The sequence below is a fragment of the Homo sapiens genome, chromosome 11 (genome assembly GCF_000001405.40).
Source record: "Homo sapiens chromosome 11, GRCh38.p14 Primary Assembly".
In the NCBI taxonomy this organism is placed as follows: domain Eukaryota; kingdom Metazoa; phylum Chordata; class Mammalia; order Primates; family Hominidae; genus Homo; species Homo sapiens.
In genome coordinates this window covers 3,291,758-3,311,424 of record NC_000011.10, presented here as the reverse complement: position 1 = coordinate 3,311,424, position 19,667 = coordinate 3,291,758, and the positions used below count along the sequence as shown (strand labels likewise).

Genomic DNA, 19,667 nt, shown 5'->3' with positions numbered 1-19,667 from the left:
AAACTGGCTAGCCATATGCAGAAAACTGAAACTGGATCCCTTCCTTACACCTTATACCAAAATTAACTCAAGATGGATTAAAGACTTAAATGTAAGACCTAAAACCATAAAAACCGTAGAAGAAAACCTAGGCAATACCATTCAGGACATAGGCACGGGCAAAGGCTTCATGACTAAAACACCAAAAGCAATGGCAACAAAAGCCAAAATTGAGAAATGTCATCTAATTAAACTAAAGAGCTTCTGCACAGCAAAAGAAACTACCATCAGAGTAAGCAGGCAACCTACAGAATGGGAGAAAGTTTTTGTAATCTCTCCATCTGACAAAGGGCTAATATCCAGAATCTACAAGGAATTTAAACAAATTTACAAGAAAAAAACAACCCCATCAAAAAGTGTTTGAAGGATATGAGCAGAAATTTCTCAAAAGAAGACATTTATGGCCAGGAGCAGTGGCTCACGCCTATAATCCCAGCACTTTGGGAGGCCGAGGCCAAGGTGGGCAGATCATGAGGTCAGGAGATCAAGACCATCCTGGCTAACATGGTGAAACCCCATCTCTAGTATTAATATAAAAAATTAGCTGGATGTGGTGGCACATGCCTGTAGTCCCAGCTACTCGGGAGGCTGAGGCAGGAGAATCTCTTGAACCCAGGAGGTGGAGGTTGAATTGAGCTCAGATCCCACCACTGCACTCCAGCCTGGGCGACAGAGCAGGACTCTGTCTAAATAAAAAAAATAAAAAAAAAAAGAAAAGAACACATTTATGCAGCCAACAAACATGAAAAAAAAGCTCATCATCACAGGTCATTAGAGCAATGCAAATCAAAGCCACAATGAGGTACCATCTCACGCCAGTTAGAATGGCGATCATTAAAAAGTCAGGAAACGACAGATGCTGGAGAGGATGTGGAGATAGAGGAATGCTTTTACACTGTTGGTAGGAGTGCAAATTAGTTTAACCATTGTGGAAGACAGTGTGCTTATTCCTCAAGGATCTAGAATCAGAAACACCATTTGATCCAGCAATCCCATTACTGGGTATATACCCAAAGAATTATAAATCACTGTACTATAAAGACACATACACACATATGTTTATTGTAGCACTATTCACAATAGCAAAGACTTGGGACCAACCAAAATACCCATCAATGATAGACTGGATAAAGAAAATGTGGCACATCTACACCATGGAATACTATGCAGCCATAAAAAAGGATGAGTTCATGTCCTTTGCAGGGACATGGATGAAGCTGGAAACCATCACTCTCAGCAAACTAACACAGGAACAGAAGACTAAACACATGTTCTCACTCATAAGTGGGAGTCGAACAATGAGAACACATGGACACAGGGAGGGAAACATCACATGCTGGGCCCTGTCAGGGGGTGGGGGGCTAGGGGAGGGATAGCATTAGGAGAAATACCTAATGTAGATGATGGGTTGATGGGTGCAGCAAACTACCATGGCGCATGTATACCCATGTAACAAACTTGCACATTCTCCACATGTATCCCAGAACTTAAAGTATAATAATAATAATTTTAAAAAGAGGAAATTAGGGCAGAGACAGGCACAGAGGACCCCCTGATGGTGTCCTCTACCTTGAATCGCCTCTTCAGATGCAGTCATGTTCTGAGGGCCTGAGGGTCGAGGCTGCAATGGCAGAATTTGGAGGGGACCGTCAGCCCCTCTCACAGCCCTCCTCCTTTTCTGACTTTTACAATAGCTTTCTGTGCTTATCTGCTTGTACACTTTGGGGTTTGGGGTGAAATCATGTTTGGGAAAAGCTTTGCTTCATCACAAAGGTCTGGAAACCCTGAGATGGACTGAGGCTCTGCCTCTCCATCAGCTTGGGCTTGGAGCTTCCCTTTGCAGACCCCATGTGGACAGGAGCTGGTGGCTCCAGGACCCAGTGGCTCCAGGACCCAGTCTACAGCCACGGTCTATGGAGGCGGCTCTTCAGTGGGGCTGAGGCCCCCAGGGTGTGTCCCTCCGTGAAGTGTCCAGGCATCAGCAACCCCCTGCCCTCCCAGCCAGCCAGAGCAAAAAGCTTCTTGGTTTCCCCTTAAGCCAGAGAAGAAGGCTGTTTCCACTCAGCAGTACTGTGGCTCTTCATGGCTCTTCCAAAACCATGTCCTGTCTCCTGAAGCCCAAGTCAGGAAGAGCAGGGGTTTAAGAAGGCCTGACTCACTCTGCAACCAAGCTTGTCCTGCAGTTTGCTGGGTGCTGGAGGCCTACGTGGGCTCTGCTTCTGGGATGTCCTCCCAAGCCACAGTGGGAACAGGACCTGGCTGTGGGAGCTGGGATCCATGGAGGACACGTCCTGCCTGTCTAGAAGCTGAATCTCATGTTGTGATGTCCTATTCTGGCCCACAGAAAAACAGGCTGACTCAAATAAGGATATTGAAACAGTCTCCCAAATCTTCCCACTTCAATAGCTTAAGTTGGGCTGGTTGGGGCTGAATTGGCCAGTGGTTTAGGCAGAGCACATAACAGAACTTTCATGACTGTTATCTCATTTTACTGAGTGACCATAAGAAAGGGGAGATGAAACATGTACGAATCTCTTGTAACGTTTGTAATTTACCCCTCTCCTGAAGGACACGGCTCCTTTTCTCAGAAACGTATTATATTATCCTACAGAGCAGAGGAAGACATTTTCTCAGCAACAAAGAGAACTGGGGCAGGAGTGAATCTGAAGAAGACGGGAAAAGCAGTATCAGGATTCAGTTCTTAAGACTTCAGGAATAACTGCAGGGTTAAACTGAACACGACTACCCGGGGCTGTTTGATGCACTTTGCCTTGGACTCTGGGGCAACTTCCCTCCTGCTCCCTCTGTCTTCACATGACTAATGGAGAAGGGAAGGAGGTGGAGAGGCTGCAGGGCACAGTGAGGAAAAAGCTTCCTGCTATCACGAAGCACAGACGATAACAACAGCTAACTCCACGGGACAGCCACCTTGGCATTTTCAGACATGGTAGCGTTCTCCCCCAGGGCCCTGTGGCAGATGGGTGGCTAATTCCTCAGGACATACACACTGAAGAAACACAGAATCTGCCTCAAAGCCCGGACTCCCAGCTCTTCAGGAGTAAGATCTCTACCCTCCTCGCTGTGCAGTTTCCACAAAACCATCGGCAGTGAGGAGACTTCAAAATCACCCTTGTAGAAAGAAATTAATTAATTTAAGATAAATTAAAATAAAAAAACAAAATCACCCTCATGTCAATTCCAGCACTATAGCAGGAAGCTCTCAGAGTCTTATTGAGAAATTTCTTTCTAACTTGTAAGAAACATCCTTATCCATCCAAACCCAAAGAATGGACTCAGGGACACAGAGAACAGAAGAAGCAAGACTTTAATGGCAGTCTTGCAAGATTGGGTGTCTGGCATGAGGCACACCCAGAAGGGCTTCAACAAGAAATTTACTCCCTAGTGCACAAGTCCCTCCCCCAGTTCCTCATTGGCTGAGTACTATGAGGTTACAATCTTCCTGGACGTCGAATATTGGTAGTTGGATTAAGTTTTCGAGTATGTTCATTAGGGTCTTTCTGCTGCATTTTATTGCATCCCATAATGCATTGTGACTGTCTCAGGACTCTTCGAACATTTGACGTATGGCCCTAGTGGCTGTGCTTTGCTGATAAGAAAGGATAAAATTATCTATGTTGCAAGCTAGCCTAAACTAAATTCTTCGGTGGGGTGGGGAGGGGGTATTTAAGGGGGCCCTGACCGATAGGCACCTGGCTGCCAAGTGAAAGGAGAAAGCAGGATGGGGGCAGGGGTGGCTCAGTACATTCTGCTTCTTTATCTCTTTATTTCCACATAGCCTGCTTAAACCTATACTAAGACACTTAAAATTAAAAATGGACCACCACATATAGGTTATTTTTTACATAACTGACACCCGGTTTTGAGTATCTTATATTATAATCTGTTTTGCTTGCATTCTAGTAAGTCATTTCCCCAGTAACACGATTGCAGACTCCTTAAAGGGAGAGACATGCCTTATACACAAAACCTGACACAGACAAGGAATTGGTCAATCATTCCAATAGTATTTCTTAATAGCATCATTTTCTTATTTAGTTTGTCTCACAGTTTCTTCTTCATACTTTGTGAAAGAGTGGCTAATCAAATTTCTCTCATAGACTTTATTTATTTATTTATTTATTTATTTATTTTTGAGATGGAGTTTCACTCTTATCACCCAGGCTGGAGTGCAATCGTGCGATCTTGGCTCACTGCAACCTGTATCTCCAGGGCTCAAGCAATTCTCCTGCCTTAGCCTCCCAAGTAGCTGGGATGAGAGGTGCCTGCCACCACGCCCAGCTAAGTTTTGTATTTTTAGTAGAGACGGGATTTCGGCATGTTGGCCCAGCTAGTCTTGAACTCCTGACCTCAGGGGATCCACCTGCCTTGGCCTCCCAAAGAGCTGGGATTATAGGCGTGAACCTCTGTGCCCGGCCTCTCTCACAGACTTTAAAAACACATTTGTGTGAAGAATAACATTAGGAGACCATTGTGTAAGCAGGCCTGTGAACTAGGTATCTGCTGTTTAGGAACACTGAAGAAGGCAGTCTAGGGAGAAATGGGTGCCCGTGCATCAGAAGGGAAAAGGGGGCTGGAGAGAAGTTTAGAGGTGGAGACAAAATGGCTTTGTGGCACAAAGGGCAAGGAAAAAAGCGAATTAGGGATGACTCCTGGGTTTATGGTTGAGCTGGTGGTGCATAAGGGATTGGATTTTGTCATGATGAGGTCACTTCTTCCAAGAGCGTCACTGAGTTCAGTTTCTGGGGAATGGAAGGCCAGAGTGGAAATGTCATGATAAAACAAATTGCAAGCCAATTACCCTCCTCTCCCACAGCCAAGCGAATATCTACATTTAACAGGCTTTTTAAAACTTCATCTATGTAGATTCTGAGTAACTGGGAAAAGGAATCTCTTCTGAGGTCCTGATTGTTCTTACAACCTTAACCTGTAATCGCATCTACGCAGCCCACTTTCACTAGCTTATAAAGCAGTTGAATATTCCAGTTGCTTTGAGTCAAAACCCAAAGCAAGATTAGACTTCATCGATACTTCAGGCACGATGGCAACAGGTATTCATCATATTTAAGCTTCCCTTTCTTGTTCCACAGAACTTAAAAAGCTAATAATTTACTTCTGCAGTCTCTCCTACTGCAAGGACACCATTCCAACCAAGCAAAGATTATGGCAGGTCAGAACGACGAGCACGTAGGTAAGAGTCAAATAATTTTCATTTAAATTAAGCCAAACTTTGTAATTTGCTTTTTGTGCCTTACTTTTATATTTTTATTTTTTGCACTAAACAATATTCTTCAAAAATGATGCCAAAAAACCCTGGTACTGTTGTTATTATTATACTTTACTTTGTCTATTTTTGGGCACTCTTTCAGGAATGGAAAGTAGATCTGAAACTATTTTTGGCCTGAACCATGTCTTGTTAAGATGCAGATCCTGATTCAGTGGGTCTGGAGTGAGGCCTGAGGTTTGCGTTTCAGATGAGCTCACAGATGCCACCCTTGCTGCTGGTCCTCGGGCAACACTTTGGGTAACAACCTCCAGGGGTGGCTGGGGGGCCGGGAAACCCTTCAGAGCTGCCCCACTGAGGCAAGGCTAGTTTTGTGCCCCTACAACCTGCATCAAGTGGTAACTGGATGGAGGCTGCCCCTGGTGAGGCAGCTCCTCGATTCTGTACACCACCAAATTGGGCATTTCCAGTTAATTAAATCCAAATCTATTTGGAGTGCAGTCCGGGCACAGTGGCTCATGCCTGTAATTCCAGCATTTTGGGAGGCTGAGGTGAGCAGACTGCCTGAGCTCACGAGTTCGAGACCAGCCTGGCCAACATAGCAAAACACCCTCTCTACTAAAAAAAATACAAAAAAGTTAGCCAGGCATGGTGGTGCACACCTGTAGTCCCAGTTACTTGGGAGGCTGAGGCAGGAGAATTGCTTGAACCCAGGAGGCAGAGGCTGCAGTCAGCCGAGATCGCATCACGCACTCCAGCCTGGGTGACAGAGTGAGATACTGTCTCAAAAAAAGAAAAACAAGAAAAAGAAAAAAGAGTGCAGTTGTGTGGGGGAAGGAGAATGACACTTGGAGCCAGAAGACCTGGGTTTGAATCTTATCTCTGCCACTTAAGGCAGCAGCACCACGTGTTCAACTTTAAATTTCTAATATTAAATCCACAGCATATATCACCTCAATCATATAGTTTCCAAAATCATCAAGTGACATATTATGCTTGTAAAGATTTTGCCAAGAATTCTTAGTGGGTTCTCATGACCTTAATTGTAATCAAATCCAAAACCCATACTATATTTTGTGTAGTCCTATTTTTTGTAACAAATAGAGCTATTACACAAATGCAAAAGTGTTGTGTATGTATGTATTATGTGTAAATAGTAGCAAGATGATAGATAATGGATTGGTAGATGATAGATAATAGATATAGATAGAGAATACATAGATAATAGATAAAATAAATAGTTATAGACAGGTAGATGATGGATAAATAGACAATGGATTATATGGATGATAGATATAAAGATAATAAATATGGGTAGATAATAAATAGAAATAATATTATAGAAGAGAGATTTGGAAAGCTAATAGCTATAGACAGATAATAGATCGATGATAGATAAAGGTAAATATATGATCATTAGCTAATAAGAAATAATTAATTCCCTTATTGCCTTATACACTTTTGCCTATCTGGGCCGTGAGTGTGGCCTGCAGCCATGTACCTGTGCCTAGCCCATGTTTCTCATCGTCCGAGCTTAGGGGGCAGCTGGTGAGCTGAGGTTGTCATTCCCCCTGCAGGTGAGAAGGGTCTCCATTCTGCAGCTCACTCTCCCCGCCTCTCCATCACCCTCTCCTTTTTCTGGCTGTGGAAGGGACAGGAAGGGCTGAGAGGTTGACCACATAAATGAGGTTTGATTGGAACTGTTATGCTTGGGTTTCCTGGAAAAAGACTCTGAGGCAGAGGCTATGGGGCAGGCTCTGGGGAACCCCTCCTGGGGAGGAAGACAGTACCTGCAAGTGGTCCTGACAGCTCCCATGGGGGCTCAGGACTGAGCAGGCACTTCAGAGCAACCCCACTGAGGCAAAGGTGTGGGGCTTGTGCCCCCAGACCCAGTGGTACCTGGGCAGGGCTCCCCTGCAGGGCCACCCCAGGCACTGCACAGAGGCTCCCTGTGGGCCTCAGCCACCCACACTCCCACGAGCTGGACACAGGGTATCTGGTTCCTAATGGGCACCACCTTGCCTGGCACAGGAGGGGACAACATCTCAAGGCATTGATGGGCATCACACCGATGCTACCATGAAAGCCACAGCTCCTCAGAGCCCCACACACAAGACAAGGGCCACAGCTCCTTGGCACTGTCACCCAGGACTGCACAGTGTGGGTTGGGACTCACAGAGGTTTCTCTTGAGTGGGCACTGCCAGTCTTTAGGCACCGTTGAGATCTTGCTCTTGATTTAGCTCTTACGAGATGCAAGCCAGGCAGAGGTGTCTGTAGGGAGTTGGCATGACTGGTGTGATTGGCAAGGTCCATGTGACTGGTGAGGTCGGTGTGCATCCTAGGAGAGAACCAGAGGGGGGCATCCCTCATGCTCTACCCAGAGCCATGCACTGCTATGCCAAGATGGCGTCCTACAGCCCAGCACAGAGCCACAGGTAGGATGCAAGTAGGACTCAGGTAGGATGCAGGTGGGATGCAGGTGGGACTCAGGTATGATGCAGGTAGTAGGCAGGTGGGACTCAGGTAGGACTCAGATGGGATGCAGGTAGGATGCAGGTAGGATGTAGGTGGGATGCAGGTAGGATGCAGATAGGATGCAGGTGGGATGCAGGTGGGACTCAGGTAGGATGCAGGTAGGATGTACGTGGGATGCAGGTAGGATGTAGGTGGGATGCAGGTAGGATATAGGTGGGATGCAGGTAGGATGTAGGTGGGATGCAGGTAGGATATAGGTGGGATGCAGGTAGGATGCAGGTAGGATGTAGGCGGGATGCAGGTAGGATATAGGTGGGATGCAGGTAGGATGTAGGTGGGATGCAGGTAGGATATAGGTGGGATGCAGGTAGGATGCAGGTAGGATGTAGGCGGGATGCAGGTAGGATGCAGGTGGGACTCAGGCAGGATGATAAAGGTGGGACTCAGGTGGGATGCAGGTAGACAGAGTGCAGGTGTGTGCACTCAGCTATGTCCATAGCACACCCTGGACCTTAGCACCATGCCTGGAATGCCAGAATACGATGGGTCCCAGAGGGAGGGTAGCATTCAAATGAAGACTGCGAATGTCACATGTGCTTAGCCTGTGTGCCTGGAAAATCCCCTAGTGTCCTGCACCAGCTGGCCCGGGAGGGAAGAACAGGCAGCTCTGCAGGCCGCGCTCTGGGGACCGAGGTACCCGTGAATGAATCCACGTGGATGTCAGAGAGACTGAGCCTTCAGCCGAAAGCCCAGCTCCTTCACTGGCCTGTTGGGCAGCTGTGTGCCCTTTCCTCAATCTCTCTGAGCCTTAGTTCTGTCCTTATAAGCAATGTGTCGGTGCAATAATAATTCCTGCCTTGATGGTCCTGGAATGACTGAATAAGATCTAGTTCCTCGAGTCACCCGATTAGGTTTCCTTCCCTTCCTTTTCCTTCCTAATCTCAGAAAGAAAGGGATGGGAAAAGCAAAAGGAAGGAAAATGCTGGCAAAGCAAACGTAGGTGTGTGGCACCTGGCACCCTCGCAGCGAGCGTGGCTATGGTCTGTAGCAGCAAAGAGCCCCACAGCCACGCCCAGCTCCGGGAGAGGGGCCAGACTGGGACCTGGGCTCTGAGCCCCCGTGGCTAGCGCGGCACCTGCACTCCTTGATATGTTCAGGACACCTCAGCATGGAGGGGGGCCGCACTGTGCCCCCCACCACCGCCATCCTGCCAGCCCAGCAGACTCTAGGGACTGGGCCTGACCTTGCCCAGCAGCGCCAGAAACCCAGAGGCAGCCTCCTCCTCCCCAGCACGATGCCTATGCACGAGGGCCTGGGTCCAGGATGCAGACGGGGCCACTGCTGCACTCTGCAGCGGTGCGGACCGGGAGCAGCTGCCTAGTGGCCCCTGCAGGGGGTCGGTCTTAAGCCAACTGGTCCCTCTTCCTCTTGTTCAACTTCCTGCCAGGAAGCTTGGAGGGCAGCTGTTATTCACAACTAAACATCTTAAAAAGGAATGACTTGGTTCTTAGTCCTACCCCAAATGGGTCAGGGTTTTCTTTCCTCCTTTGAAATGGCTTTGGCGTTACAAGGGCCTTTCTTATCTGATTGTTGCATTAATATGATCCTTGAAAATGGACCGAAGGAGAATGAGGATAAACGTTTTGTACCAAAAAAGCACTAATTTCAGTTGAGATAGGATTTTAAGTTTTAGAGGAGAGAGGAGTGGAAAACAGATAATATAAAAAACGAAAATGTGAATACAGATTTAATCCCAGTGAGGCTAGAACGTGCAGGGCTTGGCCTCGAAAGAGGCAGAGCTGCGTGCTGACTCACCAGAGGGGCGTGCGGATCCTCCCAGGCCGCTGTTGAGGAGTGTTGTGGGTGGAGGCTCCACTCTGGGGGGACTGGCTTCCCGAGTTTGCCTTCCTTGCTGTCAGCATGGCCTCACGGCCCTGAAGAAGCAGGGCCCCCAGCCAACGTAAATGTTAACACCGTTGTAGGGATTATAGCCGCTGGTTTTCAATCGCGCTTTTTTTTTTTTTTTTTTTTTTTTTTTTTTTTGAGATGGAGTCTCGCTCTGTCCCCAAACTGGAGTGCAGTGGCGCGATCTCGGCTCACTGCAAGCTCCGCCTCCCGGGTTCACGCCATTCTCCTGCCTCAGCCTCCCGAGTAGCTGGGACTACAGGCGCCCACCACCACGCCCGGGTAATTTTTTGTATTTGTAGTAGAGACGGGGTTTCACCGTGTTAGCCAAGGTGGTCTCGATCTCCTGACCGCGTGATCCGCCTGCCTCGGCCTCACAAAGTGCTGGGATGACAGGCGTGAGCCACTGCTCCCGGCTCAATCGTGCTTTTACAAACGCTCTGGATGCTTTTGAAGTTCATTTGAATTCTATCCCTCAGATAAATGGACTCTCCTGAGAAAGACAAACAGTTTCCTAGGCTCACTAGCAACAGCACAGTCCTTGGGTGGTGGTTGTTATTGTTGCTGTTTGTTTTAATATTTACCTAAGGTCACAGTCACAGCTTGTAATTTATTATATCTGAATTATTTAGAGTGATTATTAACTGTCGATCTCAGGGCTTAATGTTAATGAATGCTTCTGGGAAATGAACAGAATGATAAATTCAGGCCGATGCAGGCACCTCCCCACTTTTATGGGAAGAAGGGCCCCACACTTGTGCTCTGCACCCGGGAGGAGGCCTGACCCATCGACTCGCTTCCCGTCCTCGTGTCATTACAAATCTCTGCCTGGTTCCTCACACAATAACAGAGGAGATGGCTGAAACGCTGCCTTCTGGGCGTTTATAAACCACAGTCGCTGCCTATTTTCAGGCGGAAACGCTCCAGGAGCTGAGAGAGCTGTGCTGCCCTGTGAGGCTCCCATCCTCTTAGTCACAAGACTGCTGTCTCCCCTGGGGACCACACGCTGTGCAAATCCGCCATCCATCCATTACCGTCTACACGCTGTGCAAATCCACCATCCATCCGTTACAGCCCATTATCAGATGGAAGCCTTCCAGCCCCCTGGTGAGAAGCCAGAGAGCACTAATGTCCACATGGGGACAAAATTATTGACCATGAACTGAGGAAATGTATTTTTTTTTTGCTTCTTCCCACTTTGACCGGAATTACTAACTTGATCAACATGAAATTAAAATGAAACACTTGGGGAAGAATCTCTTCAAGTCCATTTTTTTATCACTGGGCTGAGACCATATTATGCAGTCACAATGCCAGGTTATTTCAACTTAGCCGAATTAATGAATCTAACTCAGTCCTGGGCTATATTACCCATCTGTTTTAGGATATTATAAGAGAAAGTATGTGACTTTTTCACCAAGTTACACATGAGAAAATCAAGACGAGATGTCCAAGTTCACAGTCATCTCATCATGATGGAACAGAGGGATAATCACAGGAAAATGTAGGTGCTTCCCCAGAACACTGAATTTCTATGTAATCAGGTAAAATTAGGCCATCTCGGTTGTCACCTTCCTGCACAGGATGTGGAAATAGCTGTCATTTATAAAGAAGGGGCCGTGCAGAGGGGCAGAAGCCACTGGAGAGCAGCTGTGGCTGGCGCTCACTTCTGGGCTCCTGGCGGGGTCTCAGCCGGGTGGTAAGTGCAGCAGTGGAAAATGGCCTGGACTCCTCGCCGGGGGCTCTAACCTCTTCCCTAGCTTGGCTATCATCCTGAGTCAACACCGCTGGGCCTCAGTTGCAGGTCCTGTTGGAATTTGGGATTGGGGACTGGAAAGGACTCAGGGGTTTATGCCGTTGCACTGGTATATAAGAAGTGTTGACAGCTAGAAGGAGGATCTAAGTTCAGGGACACCACACGGCTGTGTGGAGTCTCACCTCCTGGTGCCCTGAGCAGGGTCTCCCACTCCAGAGACTGTGGGAGTGCCATGCCTCCCAGAGATATGGCTGCTCTATCGTCTGGGTGCTCAGTCCCACCCTTGGAGACTCTCCGTGTGATGTTTCAAACCAGCCCAGCAGTGGTCCTGGGTCCTGAAGAGTCTTTGTCAATAATAGGCAACCTCTTTGGGATATTGGGCTGCCCAGACCAGGCAGTTTCTTTCCAGAGGCAAAATGGCTTTGTCCTCACTGAGCGTGGGAAGTCCAGCCCTGCCATTCTTTAACTCGGCGACCTTGGGGTGTTGCTGGCTGCCCTTAGCCTTGGGTCTCCATTGCTTTCCTCAATGAGAGTCAACACAGGCAGCTGTATTCAAGGCATTTGGTAACCAGGAAAGGTGTAAATAAATATCTGTTATTATTATGACTCCAGAGGCAATTATTTCTGCTGCAAAGATGGAGATGTTTATTAATTTGGATCACAACTGGCTTTCTGAGATTTTATAATCATTGTAACTATATCACTTTTAAAAATATAGCATTTCTCACTCAGCTTATCGCTTGATGGGTCTCATTTAATGTAATTTTATATTTACAAAATTCTATTACCTATGTGATCTCATGTAATCCCCATGGCAACACTGTGAAGAGGTGCCACTACTTCTATTTGCAGAGGAACATGATGCCCCATGAGGTTTAAGGTTGTATCCAAGGTCACACAGCAGCAGAGCTAGGGACAAATGCAGGACTCCCGAACTCCAGGCCAGTGACATCTATGGCAAACCCCCAAACCTTAACTTCCTCAGACTGGAAGATTCCCGTGGGCATTTGCTGCTTTGCGTTGAGTGATCTTGGGCAAGTCACTGCGAGCTAAGGACTAGGCAAGCTGGGGTTCAAGGGATGCAGAAGTTCTTTCCAGATCTAAAATTCTGAATTTCTCTGGTGTTGTGTTTGCAGATTTTGCTTTTGCCAGTGCTTTATAGGGCCGTGCCTTCCTGCTATGCCAGAAATAAAAGGGAGGACAAGAGCTGAGTCTTGGACACATTTTCTGTTGCACCCCCTTTTCACCCAGGGTAGGCTACACACAATATGCCTCTTTTTTATTATTAATTTTAAAGGCAAGAGGCTTATTACTTATTAGCCATTCTGAGATAGTTTATTTTGAGCCATTATTGCCTATTTTACAAACACTCATTAGCAATATGTACATATATTGAGGTGTGTGACCCCGCAGATGAGAGTTTATTAGCTTCAAATGCTCACACTGCCTGTAGAAAAAAGTAACATTAATAGCTCACATTTTCCCTCCCTGTGGCTACTGCTAAACCAGCAATCTGTGTTAACCATTTGCTGACATTCTCACAGGGAGGAAGAAAAAGGACCTCTTATGCTTCTTGTGGGTATGAAAAATGGCAGAAAGTTGAAGGAAAGGTAAGCAGTTAAGGTTTTAGGGCTTTTTTCATTTTCAGATGTGCATGTTAGAAATAAATTTTCGGTGCCAAAAAAGAAATAGCACTCAAACATAAATTTAATTTTCTCAGCAAGGCAATTTTACTTCTATGGAAAGGTGTGACTCGCGGATGGAGCAATGGCAAGAGCACACCTGAACAAGGGAGGGGAAGGTGTTCTTATCCATGATGCAGGCAGCCCCTACTGCTGTGTCATTCCCCTATTGGCTAGGGTTGGACTACACTGTCTAAGCTAATTCCGATTGGCTATGTTAAAGAGAGCGGGGCACGAGTCAGAGTGGTGGGGTGAGTAATTGGGCAGGAAGGACAGTTACAGAACAGGTGACTCAGGATGACTCATGTCAGAGCAGGTGACCAGGGGTGACTCAGGATGAAGCAGGTGACCAGGGGCGACTAAGGTCAGAGCACGGGATAGAGGATAGGAGGGGGTTGTTTACTGAAACTAGGGGCAAGGAGACAAAGAGAATGAGGAAGTTAAATTTTAAAATGAAGAACAAAGAACAGGGAAGCTGAACACACTGATGCACTGGTTCTTTGGAGAGGATCTCAGAACTCGTTGTACTTAACAATTTACAGGCTAAAACCTTTGAAGAGGAATTTATTATATCCTACAGGCAGAACCCTCATGGAAATTCTTGCTGGGCACAAGAATGGGAGTAACTACACTTTGGAGTGCTGGGTCTGACTTTACACAAACTTATTTATTGCCTAAACTCGACTTTGACATGGGATGTCCAGATATGTGTTAGAAATGCAAAATGCTTGTTCCTCGATATCACAAAGATATAGCACTAGAACATAAATTTAATTTTATCAGCAAGGCAATTTTTACTTTCTGCAGAAAGGGTGCTCCTCACAGATGGAACAATGACGAGAGCACACTTGGACAGGAGAGGGGAAGGAGTTCTTATTCCTGACACAGGTAGCCCCTACTGCTGTGTCGTTCCCCTATTGGTTAGGGTTGGACTGCGTAGTCTGAGCTAATTCCAATTGGCTATTTTAAAAAGAGCAGGAGTACGAGCCAGAGTAGCGGGGTGAGTAGTTTGGCAGGAAGGACGGTTAGGAACAGGTAACTAAAGGTGACTTAGGTCAGAGCAGGTGACTGGGATGAGTCAGAACAGAGCAGGTGACCAGGGGAACAGATGTGAACTACTGATTAAAAGTGGTGGAAAAGGTTGTTAACTGAAACTAGAGGCAAGAGGGCAAGGAGAACCAGGAAGATAAACTTTAAAGTGGAGAATCAAAGAATAAGAGAGCTAAACATACTGCCATACTGATTCTTTGAAAAGAAACTTGGGGTTCACTATATTTAACACGTGGACATGAAAAGCCATCTGCTGAGAAGTGCAAACTCAGAGTCTACTAAACACCAGCAATTGTCCTGCCCAGGATCGTTCTGAGCTCTCTGGGGCTGAGTAATGCCAGTCAAGGAAATGAGAGGCTATCCAGCCACCAGACCTTCTAGAAAGACTATGGAGTGACTTACCAATCTTGAAGTGGGTCAGGGGTTTTGGGGAAAGGTCATATGTAAAGCTTGTAGCATCGAAGAGGCTGGGCTTAGAATCTCAGAGCTCTGGCAACTGGACTTGGAATCTCAGAGAGATGTTGTAGAAAGTAGAATAAGTTCCTCTTCAAAGTTCATCTTGGTTTAAAAATAAAATAATAGACACTAGGAATAATAGCTCCTTACTCTAAAGCCTCCTATCAACTGTTAGTTCTTACACTTTAGCCCAGTTAGTCGCTTTGGCTTATTCAGGCATGTCTGGACAAGCCCAGGCAAGACTTAGCTCATAGCTTATGCCCCTTCCTTACTTGGAAATGTTATTGCTTCCTTAAACTTTTCATAAGCAACTTCCTCTCCTTCTTTGTTCTCCCTTGCACTTACCTATTTAGGAAAGTTTTAGGTTATTAGTAAATCAGGTGTCAGTTTAAGACTGTGAGGTCCAGCTCCAGCCAATGGATGCAAGACATAGCAGTAAGGAGGACCAAAATGCGTAAGGGATAAATATGTCTGTTTTCCTTTGTTCAGGTGTGCTCTCACCATTGTTCCATTTGTGATGGGCACCCTTTCTGCAGAAAGTAAAAATGGCCTTGCTGAGAGAATTAAATTTATGTTCAAGTGCTATTTCTTTGCAGCACTGAAGAATAAGCATTTTGCATTTCTAACAGATGTAGGTGCAGTAGATAAAGTAATAGGCAAAAAGAGATCTTCCTGGGCTCCTGTCCTCGTTCAACTCAGCCAGTGAGTGGACTTGGTCACTTAATCTCTTTGAGCCATGGTTAGTGCATTCAGTAAGTGGGGGTGGCACAGCCAGATTGTCCAGCCCCTCCATCCTACAAATCAGGAGACTGTAGCTGACTTGCTCAAATTTATCTAGTGGAATAGTCAGAACAAGGGCTACAACTGTACCACGTTTTCTCACACACAGGCCAGGACACCTCCTAGGACCTGATATTGTTTAATTTCAGTGATTCTCCATCAGATTTTCTATACCCCTTTGGAGGCTTTTCTATTGCTTCAGAGAGTCTACTTTTAATGCATTTTGTATTTAACTAAATTGGTGTTACTGGGGACAACCATAATAAGTGTTAATATAAGAGGAGTGGTTTGGGAGCTGTGAAAGGAAAATATCTTGGGCCCCCAAAATCACTAAGGAAAACTCAAGCTGGAAACTGCTGAGGGCAAACCTGCCTCCCATTCCAGTCAAAGTCACTCCTCTGCTCACTGAATTGCATATCTGATTTGCCTCCTTTGGAGAGGCTAATCAGAAACTCAGAAGAATGTAACTGTTTGTGTATCACCTATCTGTGACCTGGAAGCTCTCTCCCTTCGAGTCTTCCTGCCTTTGCTTCAAGTTGTCCCACTTTTCCAGACCAAACCAATGTACTTCTTACATATATTGATTGATGTCTCATGTCTCCCTAAATGTATAAAACCAAACTGTGCCTTGACCAGTTAGGTGGTCGTAAGCATTTGCTGAGCACTTCTGTGAACTCAGGGAAGATACATAAATGCTTTGGAGGATACTCAGGAGTTAGGCTGTGTCTGCCAGGGGTTTTCTAAAGTGGTCATGGTTTTAAGAGCAACATCCTCAGGCCTTAAACTGACTCAGGTCCAGGTCTCATAGCCGGGTCTCATCAGATGTCAAGTTATATAACCCAGGGGTATTCAACCGCCAGGCTGTGGACCAGTAGCAGTCCATGGCCTGTTAGGAACTGGGCCACACAGCAGGAGGCGAGTATTACCACCTGAGATCTGCCTCCTGTCAGATCAGTGGGAACATTAGATTCTCAGAGAAGTGCAAACCCTCTTGTGAACTATGCATGCGAGGGATCTATGCTGCATACTCCTTATGAGAATCTAATGCCTGATAATCTGAGATGAAACAGTTTCATCCTGAAACCATCCCCCATGTCCCCACTGACCCTGTTGGTGGAAAAATTGTCTTCCATGAAACCAGTCACTGGTGCCAAGAAGGTTGGGGACTGCTGATAGAAGCCCTATAGGTCTTGTTTCCTCACCTGTAAAGTGGAGAAATGAATATCTATCTCTTCATAATTTTGTAAAAACACAAGTCCTTGGTTTACAAACAGTGCTTACAAAACAGCGGCTGTCATCAATCATAAGCAATTAATGCCATATCAGGCAGGATAGGCTGGATTACACTGTGGTTAGCAGGGCTCCACAACTCACTGTATGTGCTTTGCCATATGCATTTATAATCAGTTTGACAGCTTGTGCCAGAAAAACAGCCTGATGGAATTTTCACTTAAAGTGCCTTGTAAATAAAATACTACCTCTCTATATTTATTTCATCTTTAATTTTCCTCAGCAATATTTTGCAGTCTTCAATGGATAGAAGTTGTACATATTTTGTGAAATTTATCCTTAAGTATTTCGTGGTTTTGGTATGTTTGTAAATAATATTTTTATTTCAATTTCTACCTGTTCATTGCTAGTATAAATATGATTGATTTTGTATGTTGACATTTATCCTTGTCTTATAGCTTTTTTGCAGTTTTCTGAGATTTTGTATATGGACCATCACATTCTCTGTGAGTAAATGCACTTTTCCTTCTTCCTTTCTGATATGTATGCCATTTACTTATTTTTCTTGCCTTATTGCATTGGCTAGGACCCCTGGTACCACGCTAAGTAGAAGTGGCTAAAGGAGACATTCTTGTTTTGTTCCCAATCTTAAGGGGATAAAATTTAATATTTCACCAACAAGTAGGATGCGTGTCGTGGGTTCCAGGCACAAATCTTACCAAGTTGAATGAGCACCAGCTTGGAGGGAGCCAAGCCTGGATCAAACTGTAGCCATGCCACTCGAACGTGTGTGACTTTGAGTGAGTTGCTTCCCCTTTCTGAGTTTTGTCATCCAAAGAGAAAGATAATGCTATTAGGACCATTGAAATAATGAACAGGAAATAAACTAAAGCTCATTAGAAACTGTAGAGTGCTGTGAGGCTGTATTACCCAGTGAAATCACATCTTACATGGGTAAGGTAGTTTTTTTTTTGCTTTTTTTTTTTTTGAGACGGCGTCTCGCTCTTTCACCCAGGCCAGAGTGCAGTGGTGCGATCTCGGCTCACTGCAAGCTCTGCCTCCTGGGTTCACCCCATTCTCCTGCCTCAGCCTCCTGAGTAGCTGGGACTACAGGCACCCGCCACCACGCCTGGCTAATTTTTTGTATTTTTAGTGGAGACAGGGTTTCACCGTGTTAACCAGGATGGTCTCAATCTCCTGACCTCGTGATCCACCCTCCTCGGCCTCCCAAAGTGCTGGGATTACAGGCGTGAGCCACCACGCCCAGCCTGGGTATGGTAGATTTTAAAGTCAAGACATGAAGTGAAAACAGCATATCATCAAAACTCTGCTGATGATCCTATAAAATTATAGCTAAACAGCCTTATACATAGTTGTGAGACAATAGAGCTAGAAATTAATAATAAATGTAATAAATGGAAACAGAGCAGGGTTCTTCCCATGGAAAATTTAAGACTCTATTAAACAACTCTTGGGCGAAAGGGGAAATGCAAACCAAAATTTCAGAATTTCTAAAAAGTAATGGTAATGAAAGCACTTCATGTGAGAATGTATGGAGTGTGTTTAACATAGCTCAAACTCTTATCACTTTTAATATTTACATCAGTTTTTAAAAAGCAAAAAAAATGAAAGAATAAAACAAATGAACCACATTTTCAACTAAAAAACTAAAAAAGAATAACAAAGTAATAACAAAGGAAGACACCCAGAAAAAGAAAATAATAAATATTACATCAGAAAGAATTTGGGGTAGCTGAGGTCATGGAGGCAGCATAAACCTGAAATTCTTAACAAATCCTCCAAAAAATAAAGAATAGAGAACAAATAAAACCTTACTGAGCCCACCCCACCCACTGTAACTAGAAGACGGCAAACATCCAGACTTCAAAGTATATGTGAGTAGAAGGACAAGCACTGAGTCCTGGAGCACTCTCTCCTCTGGGCTCCTGGCCTTTGTCAACAGCAAGGCATGACAGGAAAATCTGTGTGGAAGAAAACAGCAAGCTAGCGATGAGCCTAAGCTTTATCTAAAACCACCACTAGCACTTCCACTGTTAAGTATGAAAATGCTGAAAAAATATACACTGTGTAAAACAAAATAAAAACTTAAGACCTCCTGTTCTCAGCCAAAGCCATTCATGCTGACCTTGGCAGCAGGGTTCTCTTGTAGATGAGGAAATAGTATTTTTTATTTTAGGGGGACAAAGTCTCGCTCTATCACCCAGGCTGGAGTCCAGTGGTGCAACCCTGATTCACTGCAACCTCCGCCTCCAGTGCTCTGGTGATCCTCCCATCTAAGCTTCTGGAGTAGCTGGTACTACAGGCCTGCGCCACCATGACTGGCTAATTTTTTTCTTTTTAATTTTGTGGAGACCATGCTTCACCATGTTGCTCAGGCTGGTCTCGAACTCCTAGACTCATGCCATCTGCCCACTTTGGCCTCTCAAAGTGCTGAGATTACAGGCATGAGCCACTGTGCCCAGCCAGAGATTGCTTATAGAATCCAGAAATACCAGTTCTGCAGGCGTGTATGGAACCTGGGCCATAGGACCAGCTCTGTGAGGGATGAGACCCATCCCTGACTTGCAGGGTATCCTGTGTCCTGCAGGAGAGAGACCCACACAGAAGGGCACAGAGCCTCTGACCACTCCTAATGGAAGCACAGGGGAAGGGACCCAGGGTGCAGAAGGCAGAGACAGAATCTCTTGGGAATAAACAGGAGGCTGTGGAAGAGAAGGATGAAGCAGGGAGGCGTCACATGGGGCTTTGTTGCACTCAGGTGGAGCTGGAAGGCTGCTTCTGGCCGAGCAAGCACTGTGAGCAGGGGTGTGGAGGCTGCATGAGTGCCACACAGAGCCCCCGTGGGAGAGCTCAGATGCACCGTGCGCACAGGCAATTACTGCCCCCAGCACTTACTTGTTGCACTACAGCCTTTAGTCCGTTACCTGTAGGAAAGATGAATCTTTCCCCGGATGTGTGAAGGCTTTGAATCAGGGTGAGTAAATGCCTCAAGGTCTGGGAAATTTCACTTCGTTGTCAGGGGGCCCTGTC

At 45.9% G+C, this 19,667-nt stretch overlaps 3 annotated features.

Moving 5' to 3' along the window:
* Positions 8,468–9,335: an enhancer, noted in NCBI's record as "H3K27ac-H3K4me1 hESC enhancer chr11:3323320-3324187 (GRCh37/hg19 assembly coordinates)". NCBI's record gives its function as "activates a minimal SCP1, AML or CMV promoter by ChIP-STARR-seq in primed H9 embryonic stem cells {active_cell/tissue: H9 hESC(primed)}" and the evidence as "EXISTENCE:reporter gene assay evidence [ECO:0000049][PMID:30033119]".
* Positions 9,336–10,204: an enhancer, noted in NCBI's record as "H3K27ac-H3K4me1 hESC enhancer chr11:3322451-3323319 (GRCh37/hg19 assembly coordinates)". NCBI's record gives its function as "activates a minimal SCP1, AML or CMV promoter by ChIP-STARR-seq in naive H9 embryonic stem cells {active_cell/tissue: H9 hESC(naive)}" and the evidence as "EXISTENCE:reporter gene assay evidence [ECO:0000049][PMID:30033119]".
* Positions 11,074–11,943: an enhancer, noted in NCBI's record as "H3K27ac hESC enhancer chr11:3320712-3321581 (GRCh37/hg19 assembly coordinates)". NCBI's record gives its function as "activates a minimal SCP1, AML or CMV promoter by ChIP-STARR-seq in naive H9 embryonic stem cells {active_cell/tissue: H9 hESC(naive)}" and the evidence as "EXISTENCE:reporter gene assay evidence [ECO:0000049][PMID:30033119]".